This window comes from Homo sapiens, chromosome 3, assembly GCF_000001405.40.
Source record: "Homo sapiens chromosome 3, GRCh38.p14 Primary Assembly".
Lineage (NCBI taxonomy): Eukaryota > Metazoa > Chordata > Mammalia > Primates > Hominidae > Homo > Homo sapiens.
Window position 1 is genome coordinate 69,009,328 of NC_000003.12, and position 24,210 is coordinate 69,033,537.

Genomic DNA, 24,210 nt, shown 5'->3' on the forward strand with positions numbered 1-24,210 from the left:
TTCTTTAGTTACTTTTAACAAGATGTTCTTTCCTGCATAAAATCTAATTGCTTCTTTACAGAGTTTACAAATAGTATTGGCTACTTATTTGTTTTAGAAGTGATTTAGATTTTAAATTTCTCTCTTATGAATGGGACATAATTTTAAGCAGTTTAGTCACTTAGAAGTATTATATGAAACAATGATTAACTTATACAGTGACAACCGAAAATTAGAATTCTGCCTTCAGTTTCAGGTTATAAAGCAGAACCTGTAAGCCAGCTGAAATTGCATCCTCATAAAAATAAGGAGAAAAGAAATAATACCTACCTTATATGGACAAAGAGAGTCTTTCCTACAGACAGTGGCAATATGCCTATTGTTGTGCAAAAAGAAGGGAATGTGCTCCTCTGGCAAGCGGATGCTGGCATAGTTATACAGAGGTTCGCCTGGAATGCTGTGAGTATTAGGAGGAGCTTCATTCTGACCACTCAGTGAGACTTCATGAAGTAAGACTCCAAAGACAAACAACATTAACATAGCAACCTGCAAACCTAGAGATCAAAATGAAGACAACTTTGTTAACAAATTTCCTTTAAAAGCCAAAACAACAACAACAACAACAACAAAAAAAAAAAAAAAACAAAGGGTCAAGGGCTAAGTATAATTACAAAGCACTTTGCTATCCCACTGAATAATGATCCTTTATTCAATTTTTTTTGAGCACTTGCTTGGTGCCAGGCACCACGTTAGCAAATGGGTATACAGAGGTGAACAAAACAAGAAAGAGCCTTGCTCTCATGGTGCCTTTAAACCTACTACAACTGTCATAAACAAGCAATCAAATAAACAACTTCAGCTGATGACTGGGCCTGTGAATCAAACCAACTAGGGGCCAGCAAACTTTTCCTGTAAAGGAGAAGCAGTAAATATTTTTGGCTTTGCCAGACATAAGATCTCTGTGGCAACTACACAACAATGCCTCTGTCCAAAAAAGTAGCCATGGTCTATTATAAAAGAATGGATGAGGCTGTGTTCCAATAAAACTTTTTAACTTACAAAAATTATGGAAGGGCTTGATAGGATCCAGTTTAGTGATACCTGAAACTAAATAAAGTAATATGATAGACAACATAGCATGGTGAACATTTAAAGCTTAACCACCTGGATTTGAATCGCAAATCTGCAGCTTCCCAGCTGTAAGACCTGGAACAAGTTACTTAACCTTTCTGCACCTAAGCTTTCCCATCTGTAAAATGGAAATAATAATAAACCTTCATCATAGAGCTGTCATGAGTTAAATGAGTTAGTTATTGGTAAAGTGTTTCGAAAACTATCTGGCACATGCTAAATGCTATGGAAATGTTTATTAAATAAAAGTTTAAAGCCATGTGGGGCAGAGAAGGGGCCTAAATAACATTAAAGCTGAGATCTGAATGATGAGGAGGGGAAAAGTATCTGTGAGAGAGCAAAGGGAGTGGGATGGCTCTGAGCAAGTGTGTGTCTGCTGAATAAAAAATTATAATCATAATCAAGGTATGAGCACAGACAATGTTCCAGGAGCGCTTCTGTACTCAGGATACAGCAATGAAGGTGCAGTCACGAACTAAACTCATTGCCCTTGTGAAGCTTACATGCTAGTAGGTATAATAATCAGCTATAATAGCTAAGACTTAGAAACTCCAGGACACTAAGCAGTCTGCCTCAAAGACTGTGCCCTTAAGCTCTCCCATCATGCCTTTACATTGTGAACAGTGATAATGGTCAGAAACCTCACTGCATTTCTAATTCACCCAGTAAGTGTTAAATCTCTTGGACCAGATTTCTCCTATATATCCCAGACAATGATCCTGCCATTCTCAGGTCACTTTAGTGGGATCTTTGTTCTTTTTTTTTTTTTAAGTGCTCTTTCCACTGGATGACAGAGTCTTAATACACACTGGATGTTCATCAGCTAGGACTGCTGTTTCCTGGGTCATACCGGAAAACCCAACTTTCGAAATCAGTCTTCATTGATTATGGGCTGTGAAGATGGAACCTTTAGAAACAGACTGCAGGCCTGTAATAGTAGCACTTTGGGAGGCCAAGACTGGCAGATTGCTTGAGTCCCTGAGTTCGAGACCAGCTTGGGCAACGTGATGAAACCCGGTCTCTGCTAAGAATACAAAAAATCAGCTGTAGTCCCAGCTGAAGTGGGAGGATCACTTTAGCCTGGGAAGTCAAGGATGCAGTGAGTCGTGATCTCGCCACTGCACTCCAGCCTGGGTAATGCGAGGGAGACTCTGTCTCAAAAAAAAAAAAAAACAAAGAAAGAAAGAAGAAAAGGAAATTGACTGCTATGTTCCATCAAACCTCAAGTTCCAAGGCCATGGAATTCTAAGTGAACAGTGGGGACACCAAAAAGGAATCCTTTTTCCCCCATTTTCCCCCCTTGGAGTAGTTAAGTATTGTGGTTTTTCACTTTGGCGGCCCTCAAGAGTATGGTGTTATCTGCTGTAAATCTGATCTGAATTACAATAACATTTTCACTTGGAGCTTTTATCCAAGAATGAGTTGACAGCAGTTTTATAAAAATTTAAAAACACATATTAATAGTAACAATGACTCTACTTGTAATAAAAATATATACCTCTTGAATCTTCAGAACCACTCAGAAGCTTCTGTGATGTTTCAGGTCTCTAAAACCTGTCAGAAATGAAACATATTACCTTAAAAGGATGCTAAAGTAAACCTGATCATTCAGATGATGTTGTGAATTAAAGGAAATATTAAGAAAGAAAATAATGTAACGTGATAACTCTCAGCCAGAAGGCCTGGCCGGTGGTGCGCTTTCTTTTCCTTAATGAATACCACACTGCTATACTCGAGTTCACAGGCACCACCCCCAACACAGCAACTCGGACCAGATTCCAATGGGGAACGGGAGGAGGTGGCCCACTTTCTACAGGCATCCACTGGAACTGGCCAACAGGATACTTAGTGGATCAAACATTCCCAGAAGCAAACAACTTTCCCATTCTCACAGCAGTAATCCCACTGGCTGAATCACAGGGCTACCCACCTAGAGTGGCGAGCCTGAGGGTTCCCAGGCCTTCCTATTTTTTGACTCGTCCTTCCCGGTAATAAAGTCATTGTTATGACCAAGCCCTGACCTTTGGTTATCCAAGTCCATTGTCCTCCAGTGAGCTCTGGCCATCACTAAACTCACCGATCAGTGGAGAAGTAACGCTTAGGCGATGGAAAAAATCTAAAGACGCAGATCAGAAAGCTGGCGTCTGGCGAGGGCATGTACCCACTTGCATAAGGCGGCTGGGGGTGGCTGCTGGGCCTGGCACAAAGCCTTCCTGGTGTCGGTCGTCCTGCAAGGCCCGCCGGGATGGGTGGCTGCACTCCTCCAGCACACGGACGCTTTACTGGCCAGGCTACTTTTCCTTCAGCTCAAAGCAGCTGGAATCACTCCACTCCAGAAACCCTTGATTCGATTTCCACAGGCCTAATGAGGAAGGAAAAAAGGGAAACATCTGAAAGATGATGGATAGGAGGCAAAACCTGGGGTTGACACAGCGGGCGAAATGGGGCAATGTCGCAGAGAGAGAGAGCTTGGAAAAGTTTAAAGACGGCAGTGGGCAAATGGAAAGTTCAACACGTGAGACCCCGAATGACACCTCAACGGCTGGCCCCTACTTGTGCCAAAAAGTCTCTCGGCGGGTGCCAGGCAGGGCTCAGGAAGTGCTCGGCTGCCCCTTGAACGTCAGTCCCGGCAGAGCCCAGCTGTCCGCTTGAACGTCAGTCCCGGCCAAGGGCTGAGGGGTCAGTGGCGAGCACCCCGCCGCGGCTGAGACGCCGCGCTGGGGTTCCGGACCCCGGGCGCCGCCAGGGATTGCTTCGGGGTCGGTGATCTCCCGGGGCCGCCCGCCACCGTGCACCGCGGCGCCCCGGGTCCCCAGCGCGCCTGGGAGGGGCCCCGGGGAGCGGCTCCGCCCCGGCTGGAAACCTGGTCAACGCGGCTAGGGCCCGGGGCCCGCCTGCGCTCCGGGCGCTGGGAAGGGGCCGGGCGCCCGGGGCCGGGGAGGGCCAGGATCGGCTTCCGACGCCCGCCTCCCGGCCCGCAGGGAATGGGAAGGCGCGGGCGGAGTGCGTGCGTAGGCTATAGCCCTCCGGGAAGCCGCGCCGGGAGCGGCTACCACCCGGGCAAGAACAGCGCAGAGCGCTGCGGCGGCGGGAAGGAGAGCGGGGGAAGGCTCCGCAGATTGCGGGGGAGTCCCACCTGGAGCCGGGGCAGCCGTGAACTACCGAGGAGGAGGCGGAGGAGACGGCGGCTGTTCCAGAGGAGGGAGTCGTCATAACCGGCTACTGCCGCTCACCGGAAACCTCGGGCGCGGGAGCTGGGCCAGGGGGCGCCAAGGAGCAGCTGGGACACCTTGGCCAGCCGGCGCCGTGGGCGGGCTCGGGCCCCGCAGAGGCAGGACCGGGACTACACCCAGGAGGGCCAGGGCGCGGGGCCCGACGCTCGGAGCGGCTTCAGCCCGGCGAGCGGCCTCGACCCGGCGAGCGCAGCAGGGAGGGGCTCAGAGTCGAGGAACCATCTGCCCTTCCTGGCGTTCTCCCGCGAACGTTCGCGCGAGTCCGCCAGCTCCCTCACCAGGGCCGGAAAGACCGACGGCACGTGCCGGCGCCGGACGCCCATCTCCATCGCAGCAGCCCGCGCCTCCTTGAGCGAGAGCGTTAAAGCGCTCAGAGGATGTTAGGACGGGGTGGGTAGAAAACCTGACTCTTCGTGTCTTCTGCGTTGCACTGAGGTGGATTTTTACTTTTGTCTTATTTCAAGCAGAAGTTGCCGCCCTAACTTCCAAATTTGGGGACTGAACATCGTTCACCGAATACACTTTGTGATGGTGAGGATACTTTGGAGTCCACACACATTTTAAAAGCAGTATAGTTTTACCTATCCGTAAACTCATCAAGTTCAAATGCTACTCTGTGGAGTTTAATTTTTATGGTTTTGTTAATTTACTTTATTACTGCTTATAATTATTTGAACTCCCATCCCCCACTGTCTTTTCCTCTAAGCTCCCCCAGGCCTAGTATTCCATCTACAGCACAGTAGAGTTGATCATTAAATAGTGACTAAAGTTGAACTGATTATATGAAGGTGATGACTTCAAAATAAACATGCTCAAATGAATATAGTCACCAGAAGTTAAATAATATGATCATAAGGAAACAAGTTTGTTTCCAAAGGCTTACATGCTTTTTACGTAATTTTTAAAAGTAATGTTGTTTAAGAATTGTTACAAGTTCCATTAGTGACCTGCTAAATTAGGAATCTTACCTGGAATTTTTTTCAAATAATAACAGCAAGAACATGTGGTGTTTAACATGTGCCAAACATTGTTTTAAAGCACTTTACAGTATTAATTTATTCTTTTTATTGAAAAGATTTTGCCTCTAAGGGAACTGTCAAGAGGCATGTGAACCGGAGCAACTCCATCTTAAATAGGAGCTGAGTAAAATGAGGCTGAAACCTACTGGGCTGCATTCCCAGGCCGTTAAAGCATTCTAAGTCGCAGAATGAGATAGGAAGTCGGCACAAGATACAGGTCATAAAGACCTTGTTGATAAAACAGGTTGCAGTAAATAAGCCGGCTAAATCCCACCAAAACCAAGATGGCCATGAAAGAGACCTCTGGTAGTCCTTACTACTATACTCCTATCAGCGCCATGACAGTTTACGAATGCCATGGCAATGTCAGGAAGTTACCCTATATGGTCTTAAAAGGGGAGGCATGAATAATCCACCTGTTTAGCATATCATCAAGAAATAACCATAAAAATGGGCAACCAGCAGCACTCAGGGCTGCTTTGTCTATGGAGTAGCCATTCTTTTCTTCCTTTACTTTCTTTTTTTTTTTCCTTTACTTTCTTAACAAACTTGCTTACACTTTGCCCTGAATTCTTTCTTGCTCGAGATCCAAGAACCCTCTCTTGGGGTCTGGATTGGGACCCCTTTCCTATAACAGAATTACTGCTCTATTATTTTATACTTTGCATACTTCACCATCCCACACTAATGACAGTAATTTTTTAAAATGCTTCCTCAAGCCAGGCACTGTGGCTCATGCCAGTAGTCCCAGCTACTCAGGATGATCGCTTGAGCCCAGTGAGGTTGAGGCTGCAGTGAGCCATGATTGAGACACTGCACTCTAGCCTGGGCCACAGTGAGACCCTGTCTCATAAAAAAAAAAAAAAAAAGCTTCCTCAGCCTACTTGCTACCATCCTATTTTTGTCACATACAAAAAGGTTAAAATCAGTATGACATGTGCATGGTACTATTTTATTTTATTTTTTTTGTAGAAACAGGTTCTTGCTATGTTCCCAGCACTTGTTTCCAACTCCGGGCCTCAAGTGATCTTCCAGCCTCGGCCTCCTAAAGTGCTGGGTTTACAGTTGTGAGCCACCACGCCTGGCTATGTGGTGCTATTTTAAACACCTACATATTGAATGGTCATTCAGACTTACAGGAAACCAGATATGATAAACCTGAACATGAGATTGAGTCTCTCTTACTGTAACAGCCATTCTCAAATAGAATTTCTCTCCAAAATACCAATGTTAGAATTTAAATTTTCTTTGAGCTGACATAAAACTCAAGTGTCTACCAATAGAAGGCTGGTTGAATAAACTATGGTTTATCCATACAATGTAAAACTATGCATGCATAAAAAGGAATTGAGAAATATCTCTGTACACTACAGAATATTGAGTGGGAAAAGGATATGTAATATGTAAATATCATTTTTCTAAGAGGAATATGTGTGTATACATGTGTATACACATATATATTTACTAATTATTATTTTACAAGTAGATTAACATTTAAAATGACTATATGGGCAAGGAGGGAAGAGGAGGGGTATAAGGAACAAAGAAGACATGACTTTGTTTTTTGGTGTGTGTGTGTGTGTGTGTGTGTATGTGTGTGTGTGTGTGTGTGACAGAGTCTTACTCTTTTGCCCAGGCTGGAGTACAATGGTGCAATCTTGGCTCACTGCAACCTCCATCTCCTGGGTTCAAGCAATTCTTCTCCCTCAGACTCCTGAGTAACTGCGATTACAGGCATGCGCCACCATGCCTGACAAATATTTATATTTTTAGTAGAGACGGGGTTTCACTGTATTGGCCAGGCTGGTCTCGAACTCCTGACCTCAAGTGATCCGCCCACCTCAGCCTCCCAAACTGCTTGGATTACAGGCGTGAGCCACCACGCCTGGCGTGAAGACATGACTTTGAAGTCATGTAAATATGTTACATTATAAAGCAAAATTCTGTTTTTAAAAAGCAATCCTTGAAAGTAAAATGAAACTAAATGAACCTAAATGTTTTCCAATTGTGGCATATCACCCAGAGGAGCTATCCCAAGTGACTTTAAAACTTAATTTGTATATACTTAGTGGGATGTATTCTCAGGACTAAAGTACAAAAAAACTCTTTTGTAGACTGCATTCCGTAACCAAATTGTTGGTGGCAATATTGGTATTATGGGATACACCAAGTTGAAGTAATTATGATGGTACCTTTGAAGCTGAAATTTTTGACATGAGATAGAAATATGAAAGCTTAATCAGGCTATATAAACATCCTGTAGTTCTGAATTTCAGTTGGAGGCCTCAGTATGATTAACAGTATGGTTAATCTTTAAAAACACATCTCTCCTACGTGCTCCATTGAAAAGGCCTAGAGACAAGCTACCCAGGAGGAAGAAGCACCCCCTTGCGCTCACACTGTGATCTCTACCAACCATTTCCCATTAAAAGAAACACTGACTCCATAGAACAATGGATGATCTTGGGTCTGGAGCAGGAAATGTACAAGATAAGCCTGCAACATCTTACATCAGGAAGCAGCAAAGCAATCAAAAGGCTATTAGGGTCATATCAAAAGGACTCAGGATCCACCTTGAAAACCTTCCTACTGGCCAAAGATAGGATGATTTAAAACATAAATAAAGGTAACTGTAATTGGATGAAGGACAGATACATTTAAGTAATCATATCAGACACGACCAATCAACCAAACATGCAAGCCAAAAAGGTATCGCTGTTCATTTTTAATGACAGAAGGAAACCAACTCTTATTCTGAAAACTGGTAAACAAAGGGAAAGAATCAGGAATATTTATACTGTCTTTCCTGTATGAATTATGATGCAAATAACAAAATAACTGAAGTAAATTTTTTATGGAAACATTCCAACTACTAAATGAAAAAGAAATGACAATATCACTCCACAAGCTCTGTGAACTAATAGATTTAAGAAGTGATCATCAATTATTTCTTTATCACAACTGAGAAACCATCAGGAATTATCTGTCTCCTGCTGGAAGAATACACTTCCACCTAATGAAGTATTTTTGTTGAAAAATAATTGCCTTTAGATTTAAACACAGGAGGCGGAACACACTAACAAAAGGTAAGAAATCAACATCCAGATGGAGGGAAACTATAGGACAAATGACCTAGTTTTTTCTACAAATAAGAAACTTCATCGAAATTGCAAGAATTAAGAAAAAGAGAGACAGAGATGGAAGAATGCATGGCTTAAAAAATTTGAGACAAATCCAACAAATTACAATGAGTAAATTGCTAACAATATCAGCAGAATGTAGTATACTGGTTCTCTCATCCAACTGTTAGACCATAATTAAAAGGTGTTGACATTTTTAATGAATAAATTTTGGCTGTAACTGATCTATATGCTTATGATTTTACAGAAAAGCAGTAGGAAAAGTAGCACCATATAATTAATTATTGAAATCATAGACTCTGGAGCCAAACTGCACAAATTAGAATCCCAGCTTTGCCACTTACTTGCCATATGACCTTGAGCAATTTACTTAATCTTTATTTTTAAAAATGGGGGTGATAATGGCATCCATTTTAAAAGGTTGACTTGATGATAAAGTGTGGGTACACACTTCCTTTTCCAAAATCCTTGGGTCCCTGTGTGTGTCTGAACTTTAAAAAATAGAATAGATATGCCCATCGTTTAACTTAATACCCCCCCCCCCCCACTGAGTCCTGGGTGAGTACCCCATAATCTCACACAGTATTTCTGCAGCAAAATGTATGAGTATTCACACCAAATGAGTTAAAGACTATACATAGCCCTATGTCAGTGCAGTGCAGGCTTTACCACCGAAGTAGATTTAACAGCAAATGTATTAAAATATGTATGGTTTTTAGAGCTTTGTGGATTTCAGAACAATGATTATGGGATTATAATCCTACATAAGTGAATTCCTTACACAGTGTTTGGAACAAAATAAGACTATGTTTCCCAAAAAAAGAAAAAAGAAGAAAAGACTATATTTCCTATTACCAACCTGACCACAGATTTTTGAACAACGTATATTTTTAAAAATTAAGATTGTAATTTTAAAACAGACAAATCAGCATGGCATTTTATAAAAATGGAAGGAATACCTCTATCTACCATGCTGTGCCTATACCTGTAAAAGCAAGAAGAATGTTTAATATTAAACAAACAGAAAAACCTGCCATTACGTTCTTGTTTAATGTTATTTGCGATTCTAAATATTAAATTTAGGCTACTTGGGAGTAGGGCAGTGTGGGGAATTCCAGACAGTTCTAAGAGTAAATTCTCTTTACCGTATTTGTGAATTATTGAAGCATTTTGAGTTTTTTTGTTTTGTTTTGAGAAAAGGTATTTAAGTACTAAGGAGAAATACATTTCATTTCCAGTCTGTCTTACAAAAAGATCTTAATTTGCTAAAAGGTAAAATGCGTATGTATAAAGGCAACAGATTAAAAGTACTTTAAAGGTTACAGAGCTTAATCCAAGCAATATGAACTCAGAAATAGAGGATAACTTATTTTAACTGTTGTTATTACTTGAATACAGAAACATAAGACTTTTAGAAGAATGTCTTGATATTGCTTAAGATTAAAAACTGACACAAACTATCCTTACAGTAGTTACCAGCTAGTTATAAGTAAATTCTTAGCACTGTGTTTTCCGAAAACATATCTTCATTAGAAGATAATGAACTTAGGGCCGGGCGCAGTGGCTTATGCCTATAATCCCAGCACTTTGGGAGGCCAAGGTGGGCAGGTCACTTGAGTTCGAAACCAGCCTGGCCAACATGGTGAAACCCATCTCTACTAAAAATACAAAAATTAGCCGGATGTGCTGGTGCGCACCTGTAATCCCAGCTACTTGGGAGGCTAAGGCAGGAGGATCACTTGAACCTGGGAGGCAGAGGCTGCAGTAAGCTGAGATCACACCACTGCACTCCAGCCCAGGCAACAGAGTGAGACTCTGTCAAAAAAAAAAAAAAAAACTACACTTAATACTAATAATGTAACTTATAGAAAATTAGGGCTTCATTTTCTTAAAATATTAATCTCAAATGTAAACAAGTTATATTTTCATAAAACAATATTCATTCTTCACTCATTACTATTGACCACTATAAATTTTGTTAAAAATGAAATACACTATTACTATTTTAAAATCTTTATTCAATCAGATCCATGCTTATTTACATTACCTTTCATTTAGAATTAAAATATATCAATCTGTAGTTTAAATCATACTTTCAGCCCTTTACAAAATATGTGATTAAAGTTTTCATGGTTTAAAATGGACCTAGAATATGGAAAATTGGATTCACTTTAATGAAAATGAAAAATTTTGATACACTAGAACATAAATGTATACGTACTAAACATACAGTATTAAAACAAGATAAAACATCTACAGTTTTCTTTTTTCTTCTATTTTCTAAATATTATAAATCATATACTTTTAATAAGCATTCAAATAAAACTCTCAATAAATGCCAACTGAAGAGATGGAGAAAAAAAATTTCCTGAACATTCTTTTCACTTACTTCACTACAAACTTCATGTTTCCTAGGTCAGAAGTTATCCACATTTAGAATATCTTAAGTCACAACATAGATATATTTGGTACATTCCACATGCTAAACACTGTACAACTGGCAATTCTCAAAAAATAGGTAAAAGAAATGTAAGAAATGGTAGACTCAGTTTAGCCTCCCAAGAATTGGAAGGACATCTACAGTCTGTGCTTAATTGTCTATAAATGACCAAACAACCTTCCCTTTGTTTACTCATTTTTTTATATTCTTGAAAATGTTATTTGCAGCTTTTTTCTTTCAAGAATGGAAACATCTAATTGCAAATCATTTTCCTATCCATTAAAATATAAATATTATTTTGCAAGAATATGGGTAGAGATGTTTTAATGACAAACAGCAAAGTATAGCAACGAATATTCAATAGGTATTCTGCCACCTACTGGAGTTTTTCAAGAAACTGTTTAAGTTCACTTTAACTTACAGAAGTATTGAGAGATCCAAGTGTTTAACAATCAAAATATGATCAGTTTGAGTATCAGCTATTTATTTGTAGATAAAGAGTAATATATGGTAATATGTAACTAGAAACTATGTAACTAGAAATTGTTAATACGGATAAAAAAAGAATGTTTAATTTTATAAAATTGAAAAGTTTAGGAATGAGTTTTATTGCAATCTTTTCTCTGCAAATGAAGTTTTTTTCTACTAGTGGATATTTTAAAGGGACTATTTTATAATTCCAAAACGTCTAGTTTCAAATGCTTCAGAGAATTTTGTAACTTAAGTTTCATATAGAGTAGTCTCCCCTTATCCACGATTTTGCTTTCTGTGGTTTCGGTTACTCACGGTCAACCACAGTCTGATTACAGGTGAGTACAGTACAATAAGATATTTTGAGAGAAAGAGACAGACATATCACATTTACATCACTTTTATTACAGTGCACTGTTATAATTGTTCTATTTGCAGTTATTGTTTATCTCTTGCTGTCCCTGATTTATAAATAGAACTTTATCATAGGTATATATGTATAGGAAAAAACAGTGTATAGAGGTGTCTATACTATCCATGGTTTCAGACGTTCACTGGGGGTCTTGGAACGTATGTCCCATGGGTAAGAGGGAACTACTATATTTTCTAATTCTATACATTTCTTATTGCTTATCTGTCCTGTCATTCTGCCCTTGAATATTACACACACAAAAAAATCAAGCTGACAAAAAGCTATTAGACTACTTTTTACTACTAAAATGAAGAAAATTAATTTTATGAATCTGGCTCACACTGAAAGAATATTTATTAACACTACCAATCAGAGATCCAATGACAGAAACACTGTCTGGAATACAAAAAGAACAAAAAATGAGGTCATTTGAATTGCCCTGAAAAACTCCAAATTCTTCAAGATGGTGTACTTGTATCTATATTCTGAAGTACTAGTGTTTTAATTTTAACTAAAAATTAAATAAGAGTTTGTTTTTTTTTTTTTGAGACGGAGTCTTTCTCTGTCACCCATGCTGGAGTGCAGTGGCACAATCTTGGCTCATTGTAACCTCCACCTCCCAGGTTCAAGCAATGCTCCTGCCTCAGCCTCCCGAGTAGCTAGGATTACAGGCGCACACCACCACGCCAGGCTAATTTTTGTATTTTTAGTAGAGATGGGGTTTCACCAAACTGCTGGCCATGCTGGTCTTGAACTCCTGACATCAGGTGATATGCCCGCCTTGGCCTCCCAAAGTGCTGGGATTACAGGCATGAGCCACAGCACCTGGCCGTAAATGAGAGTTTTTATGTGCAAGTAAAGGCAGTTAAATAACTTTCAGTAATAAAATGCATCACAATATTTCACAGGTTTAAAACACAACCTGGTTACCTTTTTGAATAAAATAACATTTGGAAGAAGGCATAGCTACTTTTAAAAGCTATTCTATGCTTTCCTTGTGTTTGAAATTTCAAGAAAAAATAAAATGATAAATCACAAAATTAAAAATGCCAAATTCAAGTTAATTCCTATAATTCTTCCATTTTGTTATGAATATTCTGTAATATCAAACATTCATTTTTAATGTGCTAAAAATATGGGTTTACAAAATATGAACAGGTAATTTTTAAAGAGTAAATTATGTTAAGAACTTTATTATTTTCGATTCATTTTATAGGGTAGTAAAATAATACTTCTTCAAAATCATTTAAATGTTATTGATGCCATTGCAAAATCATTATAAATAAATTTTCTCCATTATCCAATCACATCTAGATAACATTGAATATGTACAGGTTTCTCTGGATAGGTACCAAAAGGTACCACATTTTATACAGACTTAATTGTGAAAGCTGGGTGAAATAAATTTTCAGATCAAAATTTTTTTTAAGTTTAAATCATTCACTCTTTAAATTTCAGACAGTGTCAGTGTGACTCTTACTTTTAAAGGAAAAAAATTAGTTTAAAATTTAATAGCCACAGATTTAATAATTTTTTACTTTAACACTTAATGTACATTTTCATGAGCAGTAATTAAGATATGTTGAAATTTTAAATGTGAAAGATTTCAAAGTTTCAGTATGTTAACATTACTCTTCAAATGTTCTTAATATATATATAAACACTTACAAATTATAGATACAACTAGTTGTATATCTACAATACATATATGAACACCATTCTTCTTCTCTAGCCATATTTATATGAGGATAAAGTAATAAATCTCTGTGCTATTCAAGGAAAAAAAATGAATGCTTTAAAAAATAAATCTTTAAAGAATAGTTTCAAAAATAAAGTTCAAATATTGCACAAAATAATTTAACTGTAAATATTACTACATAGTGTAAAACAATTTTAAAAAAATTTTTACACTCTACAGTAAATCCCACTTTCTAATTCTATAAAAGAATTTATTGGAAGTCCACATTAAATGTTTAGATATTAAATGCTTACATTCAGTTTGATGGGAATTCAATTTTCACAAGTTAACTGAGACTTTGTCTTAAAAGTTCATCTATTTGAGTTTTGTACATATTTTTTACATCTTCGAGATCTAATCGAAGTTCTTCTGCCTCTTCTGCTTTTTCTCCATACATCTGCAGAATAGTGTTGTACCTTTGATCCAAATCCTGAAAAATGTATTTGTTTACAATTTTTAAAATAACTACACAGAACATCTTTAATATTTATATTGCCATAGGAGTCAACAATGAAAACACTACAATTTAAATAAAAGTATATACTCATCTCTTTTAAAAATTAAACTCACACTTCAGTCTATGTTGAACTAAATAGCAAAAAAAGGAATTAAAGAAAAAAACCAAGCTAGATGGCTATCAATTTTACCCTATCTCTCCACTAAATCTACAATTCTCCCCATATATGACTTCTCTCCCATTAATGTAAGCACACTTGATATAAAATTTAGTCTCTTTGTTCCATGGTGGTATAAGTATTACCCGGCATTTAGCCCACACCACAGGAAAGATCAAAAGAAAACATATTCTCACTTATGGCTTAACAGTGTCTTCTAACATCCAGATGAGACAATTGTGATGATACATATAACAACAATCAACAAAATATTACTAAGATCATACAAAGTTCAATGTTATAAATGAAGTGTAGCCAAATGAAATCTAGTTCTTTTCCTATACTGGGACTAAACATGATTGTGAAAATTACTTTGAATATGTAAAGATACAAGCAAGATAAAAGATTCATTTTTAAACTTCTTTGCTCAAATATTAGTACTCTTTAATTTTCAAATAAATCACTAACACATACTATAAATTAAAAACATGAGATTTAAAGTAAATGAACTAAAATATCTTAGACTCATCCTTAGGTGAAGAATACTTACTCTTAGCTGAGTTCTAAGTTTGGGTATCTCCTTCACCTTCTCTTCAAGTTCATCATTTTGATTTGTTAATTTAACTAGTTCTTCAGCCATTATTGATCGAGTTTTTTCTAGATTGCCAATTTCTAGCTGAGAAGCATTACCACAAAATAGTTTAAATCAAAACATATCTTTTTTAATACTCCCAGTAATATAAAAATATTTAATGTGTGTGTGGTTTTTTTTTTTTTTTTGAAATAGACATGTCAACATATAACCTTGAGCTAGCTCTTTCTTAAGTAAAGGAAACAGTGGCAGAAAAACGGTCCCAACTTTCCTGAGAGGTATACCGTTTATAAGGTTTACTGTGCAACAGAGATAAATCCAATTATTTGTTTGAAAACATTCAACCATATATTTTTCTAATCTAAGGAAATGACATATATTTCAGTTATTCTAAATTACTACAAGAACCCAGAGAAATAAAAATATACTTTAACGTAGCCCCACCTGTGTAGGTTGTATCGACAGAGGCTTTCATCACTACCAAAGAAATTAATTAGGTCCCTGTATAGCATACCAGCTATACAAACATCTGGGATTCAGATTAGTCTGATCTACTTTTTGCCAATTCAAGTTCTTTAATATTTTCATATAACTAAAAGTATATAATGGGAGTTGAATTTTTACCTACTTCTGAGTGTATTGTGTTTAACACTGAAAAGAGGTATCCTGATTCAAAATGCTTGAGACCAGGAATGTTTCAAATTTCTTTTTTTTTTTTTTTTTTTTTCAGATTATGGAATAATTGCATTATGTACTTACTGGTTGAGCATCCCAAATCTGGAAATCCAAAATGCTCAATTGAGCTTTTCCTTTGAGCAGCATGTCAGCACTCAAAGTTTTGGATTTGGGGGCATTTCAGATTTCAGAGCTGGGATGCTCAAACCTGTAAAACATTTCAATATTTCTGACTGCATAAAGTTTTTTAAAAGCCAAAAAGGTAAGATGGAAGGATGCTCCATCAACAACTCATGTTGTTTCCTCCCATGTACAGGGTGTTACAGTTCAAACATCTCATCCCCTTTACCCCTCCTTCCCGGGGTAGCTGGAACAACTTATCTAAGAGGTAAATCTGAATAGAACAGGCATTCACAGCTCAGTGACTTCCCTTTATTCTGTTGGGAAAGAGCTGCTTGAAAGGAGGAGGGATTCTCTGCTCCTAGATGCTTATGTCTTATGTAGGCAGGTTGTAAAACATGGGAGGCCTGCTCCAGCCCAGCATTTCCTGTGACAGATCAGCCGAATATGCCTAATTCTGGCAATTAGCAGGTTCAGTTGGCTGTTATCCTTAGCTAATTTCTCTTTTTAGCCTTTATCATTGATATATGTGATACATTTTGGGCTTCACATGCCACTATGTCATCTTGTTTCTCAATTTGCTCAGAATTCAGATGGAAATGAAGGGTGCTATTTATTAGGCCTCAAAACTTCATTTACTTCTATAGCAAATTTAATTTTTCCAATACCTGTAAATGAGTGATTTCCCCTTCCCTTAGCTTTAGCTGAGACTGTAGGTTTTCAATTATGCTTGATCCTGCTCCCATCCTTACAGCATCATAAAGATTGCTTCCATTTGCTGATATAGGCATTGGTCCAAATGAGTGATCATGAGACTCATCCTATGTTAATTAAGAAAGTTCACACAGTTACTCAGTTATCATAGCTTGTCTTCCATTACCAGGTTCGAACAAAAATGGTTCTGTCAATTTTTGCTTTAAATGTCTTCTCAAAGGCAGAAAATCATTCACGTGTTTCCTCTCACTAAAATTAGCACTCCTCCACAAGTATTCAGATGAATTACCCATAGAATGGCAAGGTCATGATGACAGACAATATTGCCATTTGCATATTTCCTTTATTATTATTCTAAGAACTAAGCACATATAAAAAATAAAACATCACCTGAGACAGAAAAGATGTCTGTAGTCCTGCCATATCAACACCACTTATTGAACTTGAGCGTGACATGGTGGGAGTGCTAGAAACAGAAAATGGCTTGCGTTCCTTAGGGAGTAAAAAAAATTCTGTTCATATTAAAGAGCAAAGAGATAAGCAGAGAAAGCAAGAACATTTCCTAGGGTTAATGAGAACAAAGATTCAGTCTTTTAAAAAAGCCACACTACAAAGGAATTCAATACAATCAAAAGAAGAAAAAAAACTTTTTTAAGATTCATTCTAATTTCCCCATAAAATGGCTTCTTAAGTCAAAAATACAATATTTGGCCAGGCATGGTGGCTTATGCCTGTAATCCCAGCACTTTGGGAGGCCAAGGAGGGTGGATCACCTGAGGTTGGGAGATCAAGACCAACTTGACTAACATGGAAAAACCTCGTCTCTACTAAAAATACAAAATTAGCTGGGCGTGGTGGCGCATGCCTGTAATCCCAGCTACTCGGGAGGCTGAGGCAGAATCGCTTGAACCTGGGAGGTGAGGTTGCGGTGAGCCGAGATAGCGGTGGAGGTGGCGGTGAGCTGAGATAGCACCACTACACTCCAGCCTGGGCAATAAGAGTAAAACTCAGTCTCCAAAACAAACAAACAAAAAAAAAGTACAATATTTACTAATTAAAACTGTAGCTAGACTTGGTTAGATCATCACAGAACCCATTTATTACAACAATGTAATTTGTTGGGTTTTTATAATAGAATAAGAATGTTTCTGTTAAGCTTCATATTATACAATATACTATCAATTAAACCTATTTCTGTAACATAAAATTACTAATGAGTGTTACAAATCATAAAATTTCTGGCTTATCCATTTTATTTTTAATGTATTCTTAAAATTCCAAATAAATTCAATAGGTAATTTAAATTTACCTATCGGTAGTTTAAATATATTATGCTAACTCCAAGTACACGGTAATTCTTTCAATACAGAAAACTCATTTTTATTTATTTATTTATTTTTATTTTTTTGAGAAAGAGTCTCGATCTGTTGCCCAGGCTGGAATGCAGTGATGCGATCTCGGCTCACTGCAGCCTCCGCCTCCCGGGTTCAAGCAATTCTCCCACCTCTGCCTCCCGAGTAGCTGGGATTACAGGCACATGCCACCATGCCCGGCTAATTTTTGTATTTTTAGTAGAGATGGGGTTTTGCCATGTTGGCCAGGCTGGTCTTGAACTCTTAGCCTCAAGTGATCCACCTACCTCAGCCTCTCAAAGTGCTGGGATTACAGATGTGAGTCCCCATGCTCAGCCTCAGAAAACTCATTTCAGAAAAATTACCCTCATTAACCAGAAAGAAAACAAGCCAGACTTACTCCTTAAGTGCCTATAGACCAAATGATGTGCACTGGTTTCAGTGACAGACAATTAAATTCATTTTTAAAAAGGGCAAGAGGTTTTATATTTCAAGTCCTAGAAATCATAGATCTCTTTGGATAAACTCAAAATTACTTTGGGTCCACTCTGAGCAGGACACTGATTATAATACTAGAATTCATCACTATGTTGATTTTAGACATTAAAAAAATGATACTTATAAAGCAGGGATGTCCAATCTTTTGGTTCCCTGGGCCTCATTTGAAGAACAAGAATTGTCTTGGGCCACACATAAAATATACTAACAATAGCTGATGAACTAAAAAAAAAAAAAAAAATCATGAAAAAAATCTCATGATGATTTAAGAAAGTTTGCAAATTTGTGTTGGGCTTCATTCAAAATCATCCTGGGCCACATGCCAACCAGGGCCACAGGTTGGACAAGCTTGTTATAAAGCATAGCTAAAATTAAAAAGCAATGATTAATCACAGCATCTACTAAATGGTTACACCACAAACAAACAAAAACAAAATTCAATACCTTTTCTTTTATTGTTTCTTGAGTAAAAATGGCTTTCTTCCTTTCTTGTTCAACTTTCATTCTTTCCATTTCTAACTGACTATTCAACAATGTCTAATAGAGAGAAATAAAGTTAGACAATTTCTGTGATAGTAATTCATGCCATGATAAGTCAATCTCAAAGTTAGAAGCATAAAGTATAAACTCATATTTGTTTTCCTACTAAAGACCAAGTTCCAAAAGCAGTGGCATCACCCATTTCATCTTGTTATCTCATTAATTTGCTGCCATCCCCAACCATTCTCTAATGTATGCCCTAAGAGCTGAGTGGTCACGAAGAGAAATACCTTTTCTTTCCTCGTCTCTTCAAGTGTTCTTACATATTCATCTTTTAGGTTTTCCAATTCAACCTGGTACCTATTAAACAAGGCAGAATTTAAAAAAACAGAAAATGAAAAAGATGCTAGTATAGACTATTAAAAACTCAGTACTTTATTAACTCCAGCTACATATTGAGAAATCATTTTTATTACCAGCTTGACATCAGTGATTTTCCAACAGTGTGTTCCAGATCCCATCTGAGTTTCACTCAGAAACCAAACCAAAAGTGAAAAAGCTCCACTTCTGTGCATTTTATTTATTGGTGCTCTGGGTTAAGATTTCATTTAAAAAGAGACTTTATAAAAATAATTTTGAGTACCATCATCCTATAATATGCTCAGATTCCACAAAGCTTATTAGGGAGTTCTATGAAAATGTTTCTAAAAGTTCAGATATTTTACTTTAGAAATCATTTTTACTTGACATTTTTTTAAAAAGTAAAATTTCCAAGGAAGAACAGAGGGTTAAAAAATACTAACCATTGCCTTAATATAATCTCAGATAGATGGATTTTACACCCCATGGTTTCCAAGAACCCAGAAATTTATTTAGAAAAGACTTAAATTATACTACTAAAATCCTTGTAATATAAAAGTAACTCCAAAGAGTAGTCTCAAAACTATTTTGTGGTGTTATAGGCCCCTTTAAAAAATCTGATTAAAGGTACAAATCCTTTCCCTGGAAAAAAAAATAAATACAAAACATGCCACACAATCTCAACAATCTACATGACAATGAATCCCAGTACTATCTTCTTGTTATAATATCCTATTACTTTATTTATTTTTTTTTTTTTGGAGACGGAGTCTCGCTCTGCTGCCCGGGCTGGGGTGCAATGGTGCAATCTCACTGCAACCTCTGCCTCCCAGGTTCAAGCAATTCTCCTGCCTCAGCCTCCCGAGTAGCTGGAATTACAGGCGTCTGCCACCATGCCTGGCTAATTTTTGTATTTTTAGTAGACACAGGGTTTCACCATGTTGGCCAGGCTGGTCTTGAACTCCTAACCTCAGGTGATCCACCTGCCTCAGCCTCCCAAAGTGCTGGATAACAGGCATGAGCCACAGCACCCGGCCATAATATCCTATTACTAATAACCCTAACTTTAAATGCTAAAAGTGATTACATTTAGTTCTTGGTACCCTGAAGCTAAAAGCCAACGACATACTTTGTTTATTTACTTATTTAATTTATTTTTTTTTTTTTGAGACCGAGTCTCACTCTGTCACCCAGGCTGGAGTGCAGTGGTGGGATCTTGGCTCACTGCAACTTCCGCCTCCCGGGTGTAAGCGATTCTCATGCCTCAGCCTCCGAGCTGCTGGGATTACAGGCGCACACCATCACACCTGGCTAATTTTATTTTTAGGAGAGAGTAGGTTTCGCCATGTTGGCCAGGCTGGTCTCCACCTCCTGACCTCAAGTGATCCGCCCGCCTTGGCCTCCCAATGTGCTGGGATTACAGGCGTGAGCCACGGCGCCCGGCCCAACAACATACTTTTAAAAAGTGCTTTAGGATGTCACGGAACTACCAAAAATATCACTCAGAAACCATGCTCACCTATTGTTCTCATCCTCCAGTTTACACAGCCTATTTTTCTCTGATTCTAGCTGGGCTTGAAATCTACTGTTTTCCTGTCTTAAAAGAGAATTCTGTGACTCCATGGAAGACATCTGAATTTTGTTAGCAAGGAGTTCTTCTGTAGCTGCACGTTCTCTCTCAACTGCTGCTGCCAGCAAGGTCTGGGATTCACCTGATTACAGGACAGAAAAAAAAATCACATACACATACAGCCCAGAGACCAAAATACCAAGTCAATTCTGATTTCAAACATTTAATGATGCAAGTAGCCACACTTAAAACTGATAACTATTTATTGCCTAAGGCAGGACTGTCTACTGAGACAAATGAACCAATCTTAACTTATACCTGCTTTATCACTCTTTTCCAAAAGTATTTTAATTTCAAAATGGAGTCATGCATTAAAAGAGTAGTGGATCACCAACACCAAATGGTCCTGGAGCAACTGGACAGCTATATGCAAAAAAACCAAAAAGCCTACACATCACATCATTCACGAAAATTAACTCAAAATGGATCATAGACTTATATGTAAAACATGAAACTATAAAACTTTTAGGAAAAAACAGAGGAGAAAGTCTTCAGGATCTAGAACAAGGCAGATTTGACACAAAAAGCAAGAGCCATAGAAAGAAAAACTGACAAACTGCTTCAAAATTTTCAACTTTTAAATCTATGTGAAGAGGATGAAAAGGCAAACTACAGAGTGAGAGCAAATAAATGCAAACCATATATCTAGGATTAGTATCAGGAATATATAACAATCTAGTTAGAAAATGGGTAAACGACATAGACAGAAATTTCACCATAGAGAATGTACAAATGGAAAATAAGGACATAAAATGATGTTCAATAACATTAGCCATTAGGGAAAAAATACAAATTAAAATCATAATGAGATATCACTACATGCTGTCTGAGTAACTAAAAGAAAAAACAGGGACGACATAAAATGTTGGCAAGGGTGTGAAGAAACCACATTACTCTTACACAGCCACTTTGTAAACAGTTTGGCATTTTCTTAAAAACACTAAACATGACCTGGCAATTGCACACTTGGGCATTTATCTAGAGAAATGAAAACTTAGGTTCACACTAAAACCTGTACATGAATATTCACAGTAGCTTTATCTGTAATAGCCAGAGCTTGGAATCAGCCTGGACGTCCCTTGTGCAGTGAATGGTTAAATATACGTGGTACATACTATGGAATAACACTCAGCAATAAAAAGACTAAACTACCGATACAAAAACAACTGTGTGAACCTCTTCCTGGGAATTACACTGAGTGAAAAAAGCCAAACCCAAAATGTCATACACTGTATAATTTTATTTATGTAACATTTTTGAAATGACAGAATTTTAGAAACAGAGGACAGATTAGTGATTGCCAGAGATTTGGGACAAGGGAGGAAGGGTTGAGAGAGTGGTAGGTGTGTTTCCAAAAGGGTAACATTAAGAGTGATTATTTTCAGCTAAGAAAAAAAGAAAAAAAGCTAACAGGAAGGACTCAATAGTGTTGGAACTGTTCAATATCTTGACTATGGTAATGGATATGTGGTATAGTTGTTTAGAACTTAATACACACACACACACACACATACACAAATGAGTACCAATAAAACTTTGGAAATCTGAATAAAATCAGTAGATTGTATCAATGTCAATACCATGGTTGTGATATTATACATTAATTTTGTAAGATTTTAATACTTGGAGATATTAGGCAATGTGTACAAAGGACCTTTCTATATTATTTCTTATAACTGCACATGAATCTACATTATATCAACAAAAATTTTCAATTGAAAAAAAGAGCAATGGGTAAGATTCTGAGATTTAACCTAGGTAAGAATTCTTGTATTTTTTCTCCACCAAAGTAGAGCTAGTAATACCTCTATTTCACATTTTACACTCTGCTCCACAGCATAGCTATGGTCTTTTTAATAGCATTCCTTGGTATGTTTGTCCTGTGGCTTTGCCTATATGCTAGCACAATACCACATATTGCTGAGGGTATGTAGACTTCAGTCTAAAAACCACAAAAGTACCAGTTTCTAGCATTCATTTATTGCTAAATATTTATTTCAAAAGATATCATTTTCAGATGTCTCATATTTCACAGCACATTGCTCTCAAAAGCTGTCAGAGATAAACGACAGACCTAACATTTATACCTATAAATTTAAATATATATGAAGGTTTATCTAATTCAGTTCATTTTTTTAAGTAAATGAATCTTTTTCTAGACCAAATCTTTCATGGAACTCCAATTAAAAAAAGATAGACAAAGGAGGCCCTATTTTCATTAAAGCAGCTAGAGAAGCCCAGCCTCTTATTTATCAAGCTTCCCTCTCACCATGACAGCAGCCCCAAAGGTATCTAAGAGTCCACTGAATACTATTTGAAAGTCACTAATCTAGTTCACCCCCCCGATTCACAAGGAATAGCACAGAGATAGTTGGAACAATATAAGTGACTTGTTCCACACTGTTTTGCTGGATGATTCAAAACAGAATACCCTGAGTCCATGTCTCCTGACTCATATTTAGGTCTGATTTTATCACTACACTGTGATTTCTCAAATTACATTTAGTGTCAGGCGTAGAAGGCATACATGAATTTTTCATGAATTTGCTAGCTTCTGGGATACCTATAATATACATACACTAGCTGTCTGTGCTTGAAGGGAAACATTTTAGAATAATACTTTTCTTTTTATTAACATCACAGAAGGGCAACCTGGGGCATGACTGTAAAGAAGCAGAATATGGAATCTTTTTTTTTTTTTTTGAGATGCAGTCTCGCTCTGTCACCCAGGCTGGAGTGCTGTAGCGCAATCTCAGCTCACTGCAGCCTCTGCTTCCCAGGTTCAAGGGATTCTTTGCCTCAGCCTCCCAAATAGCTGGGATTACAGGCATGCGCCATGACACCCAGCTGATTTTTGTATTTTTGGTAGAGACGGGGGTCTCATCATGTTGGCCAGGCTGGTCTTGAACTCCTGGCGTCAAGTGATCCACCCGCCTAGGCCTCCCAAAGTGCTAGGATTACAGGTGTGAGCCACCGCGCCCTGCCAGAATATGGAATCTTAAGACTCCCTAGTATGTCTCTTCTAAGGTCGATCTTGACTCTCCTTAGACCTATTTTCGCTCTTGGAATTCTACCAGTGATGAGAATCATATATGATCTCTACCTCCTACACTACTGCAGACAAGCTACAAAGGGGTCAGATTTAGCAATGGACAAGAAAAAAAAATCGAGTGCAGCAGTCTACTAAAAATACAAAAAATTAGCCAGGCATGGTGGCAGACGCCTGTAATCCCAGCTACTCAGGAGGCTGAGGCAGGAGAATTGTGTGAACCTGGGAGGCGGAGCTTGCAGTGAGCCGAGATCGCGCCACTGCACTCCAGCCTCAGTGAAAGAGTGAGACTCCATCTCAAAAAAAAAAAAAAAAAAAGAACTGAATGAAAGAATGACATGGAAGTACTTTAGCCAGTATCTGATACCATTGTGTAATGGGAAAAAATGGTTTGAAAGAGACATAATAAAGGTATTAAAAATACATGTAGAAAAAGAGAAAATGTAAAAATCTACATATTAGACACAAAATGTAACTATCAGATCAAATGAATTTCAATTTCATACCATTATTCTAATTCTATAAACAAGATGGAAGAGCTTCTGCATCGAGCATAAAAACTA

General features: G+C 37.9%; 2 protein-coding genes and 1 long non-coding RNA gene across 22 annotated transcripts in view, besides 2 other annotated features; 1 reads left to right on the top strand and 2 right to left on the bottom strand.

The window, feature by feature from the left end:
* Positions 1–4,357, bottom strand: part of EOGT (EGF domain specific O-linked N-acetylglucosamine transferase) — a 38,460-nt gene extending 34,103 nt beyond the window's left edge. For 6 of the 19 annotated variants that reach the window (NR_103826.2, NM_173654.3, NM_001278689.2 and 3 more), the window contains exons 1-4: positions 4,247–4,357; positions 3,188–3,472; positions 2,609–2,664; positions 310–533 (exon numbers count right to left, since the gene is read on the bottom strand). Coding sequence is in view for 18 of the 19 variants with exons in the window: in NM_173654.3 (NP_775925.1) it covers positions 310–519 (210 nt within the window). In the remaining variant the exon portion in view is untranslated. Of the gene's footprint in view, positions 1–309; positions 534–2,608; positions 2,665–3,040; positions 3,473–3,663; positions 3,966–4,246 lie in introns of those variants that run through there. The other 13 variants (XM_017006205.2, XM_047448003.1, XM_011533602.2 and 10 more) reach the window with 9 other exon arrangements.
* Positions 3,675–4,224: a silencer, noted in NCBI's record as "silent region_14514". NCBI's record gives its function as "represses an Ori minimal core promoter by ATAC-STARR-seq in GM12878 lymphoblastoid cells {active_cell/tissue: GM12878}" and the evidence as "EXISTENCE:reporter gene assay evidence [ECO:0000049][PMID:35858748]".
* EOGT-DT (EOGT divergent transcript) lies at positions 3,793–8,726 on the top strand. Its single transcript, NR_185971.1, has one exon. It is a non-coding gene; the product is annotated as an EOGT divergent transcript (long non-coding RNA).
* Positions 4,285–4,584: a silencer, noted in NCBI's record as "silent region_14515". NCBI's record gives its function as "represses an Ori minimal core promoter by ATAC-STARR-seq in GM12878 lymphoblastoid cells {active_cell/tissue: GM12878}" and the evidence as "EXISTENCE:reporter gene assay evidence [ECO:0000049][PMID:35858748]".
* TMF1 (TATA element modulatory factor 1) overlaps positions 10,500–24,210 on the bottom strand; it is a 32,507-nt gene continuing 18,796 nt past the window's right edge. For both annotated transcript variants that reach the window (NM_007114.3, NM_001363879.1), the window contains exons 11-17: positions 20,488–20,680; positions 18,899–18,968; positions 18,573–18,665; positions 16,669–16,770; positions 16,233–16,385; positions 14,728–14,853; positions 10,500–13,993 (exon numbers count right to left, since the gene is read on the bottom strand). In NM_007114.3, the coding sequence (NP_009045.2) occupies positions 13,850–13,993; positions 14,728–14,853; positions 16,233–16,385; positions 16,669–16,770; positions 18,573–18,665; positions 18,899–18,968; positions 20,488–20,680 (881 nt within the window). In that variant the 3' untranslated portion in view covers positions 10,500–13,849. The remainder of the gene's footprint in view (positions 13,994–14,727; positions 14,854–16,232; positions 16,386–16,668; positions 16,771–18,572; positions 18,666–18,898; positions 18,969–20,487; positions 20,681–24,210) is intronic.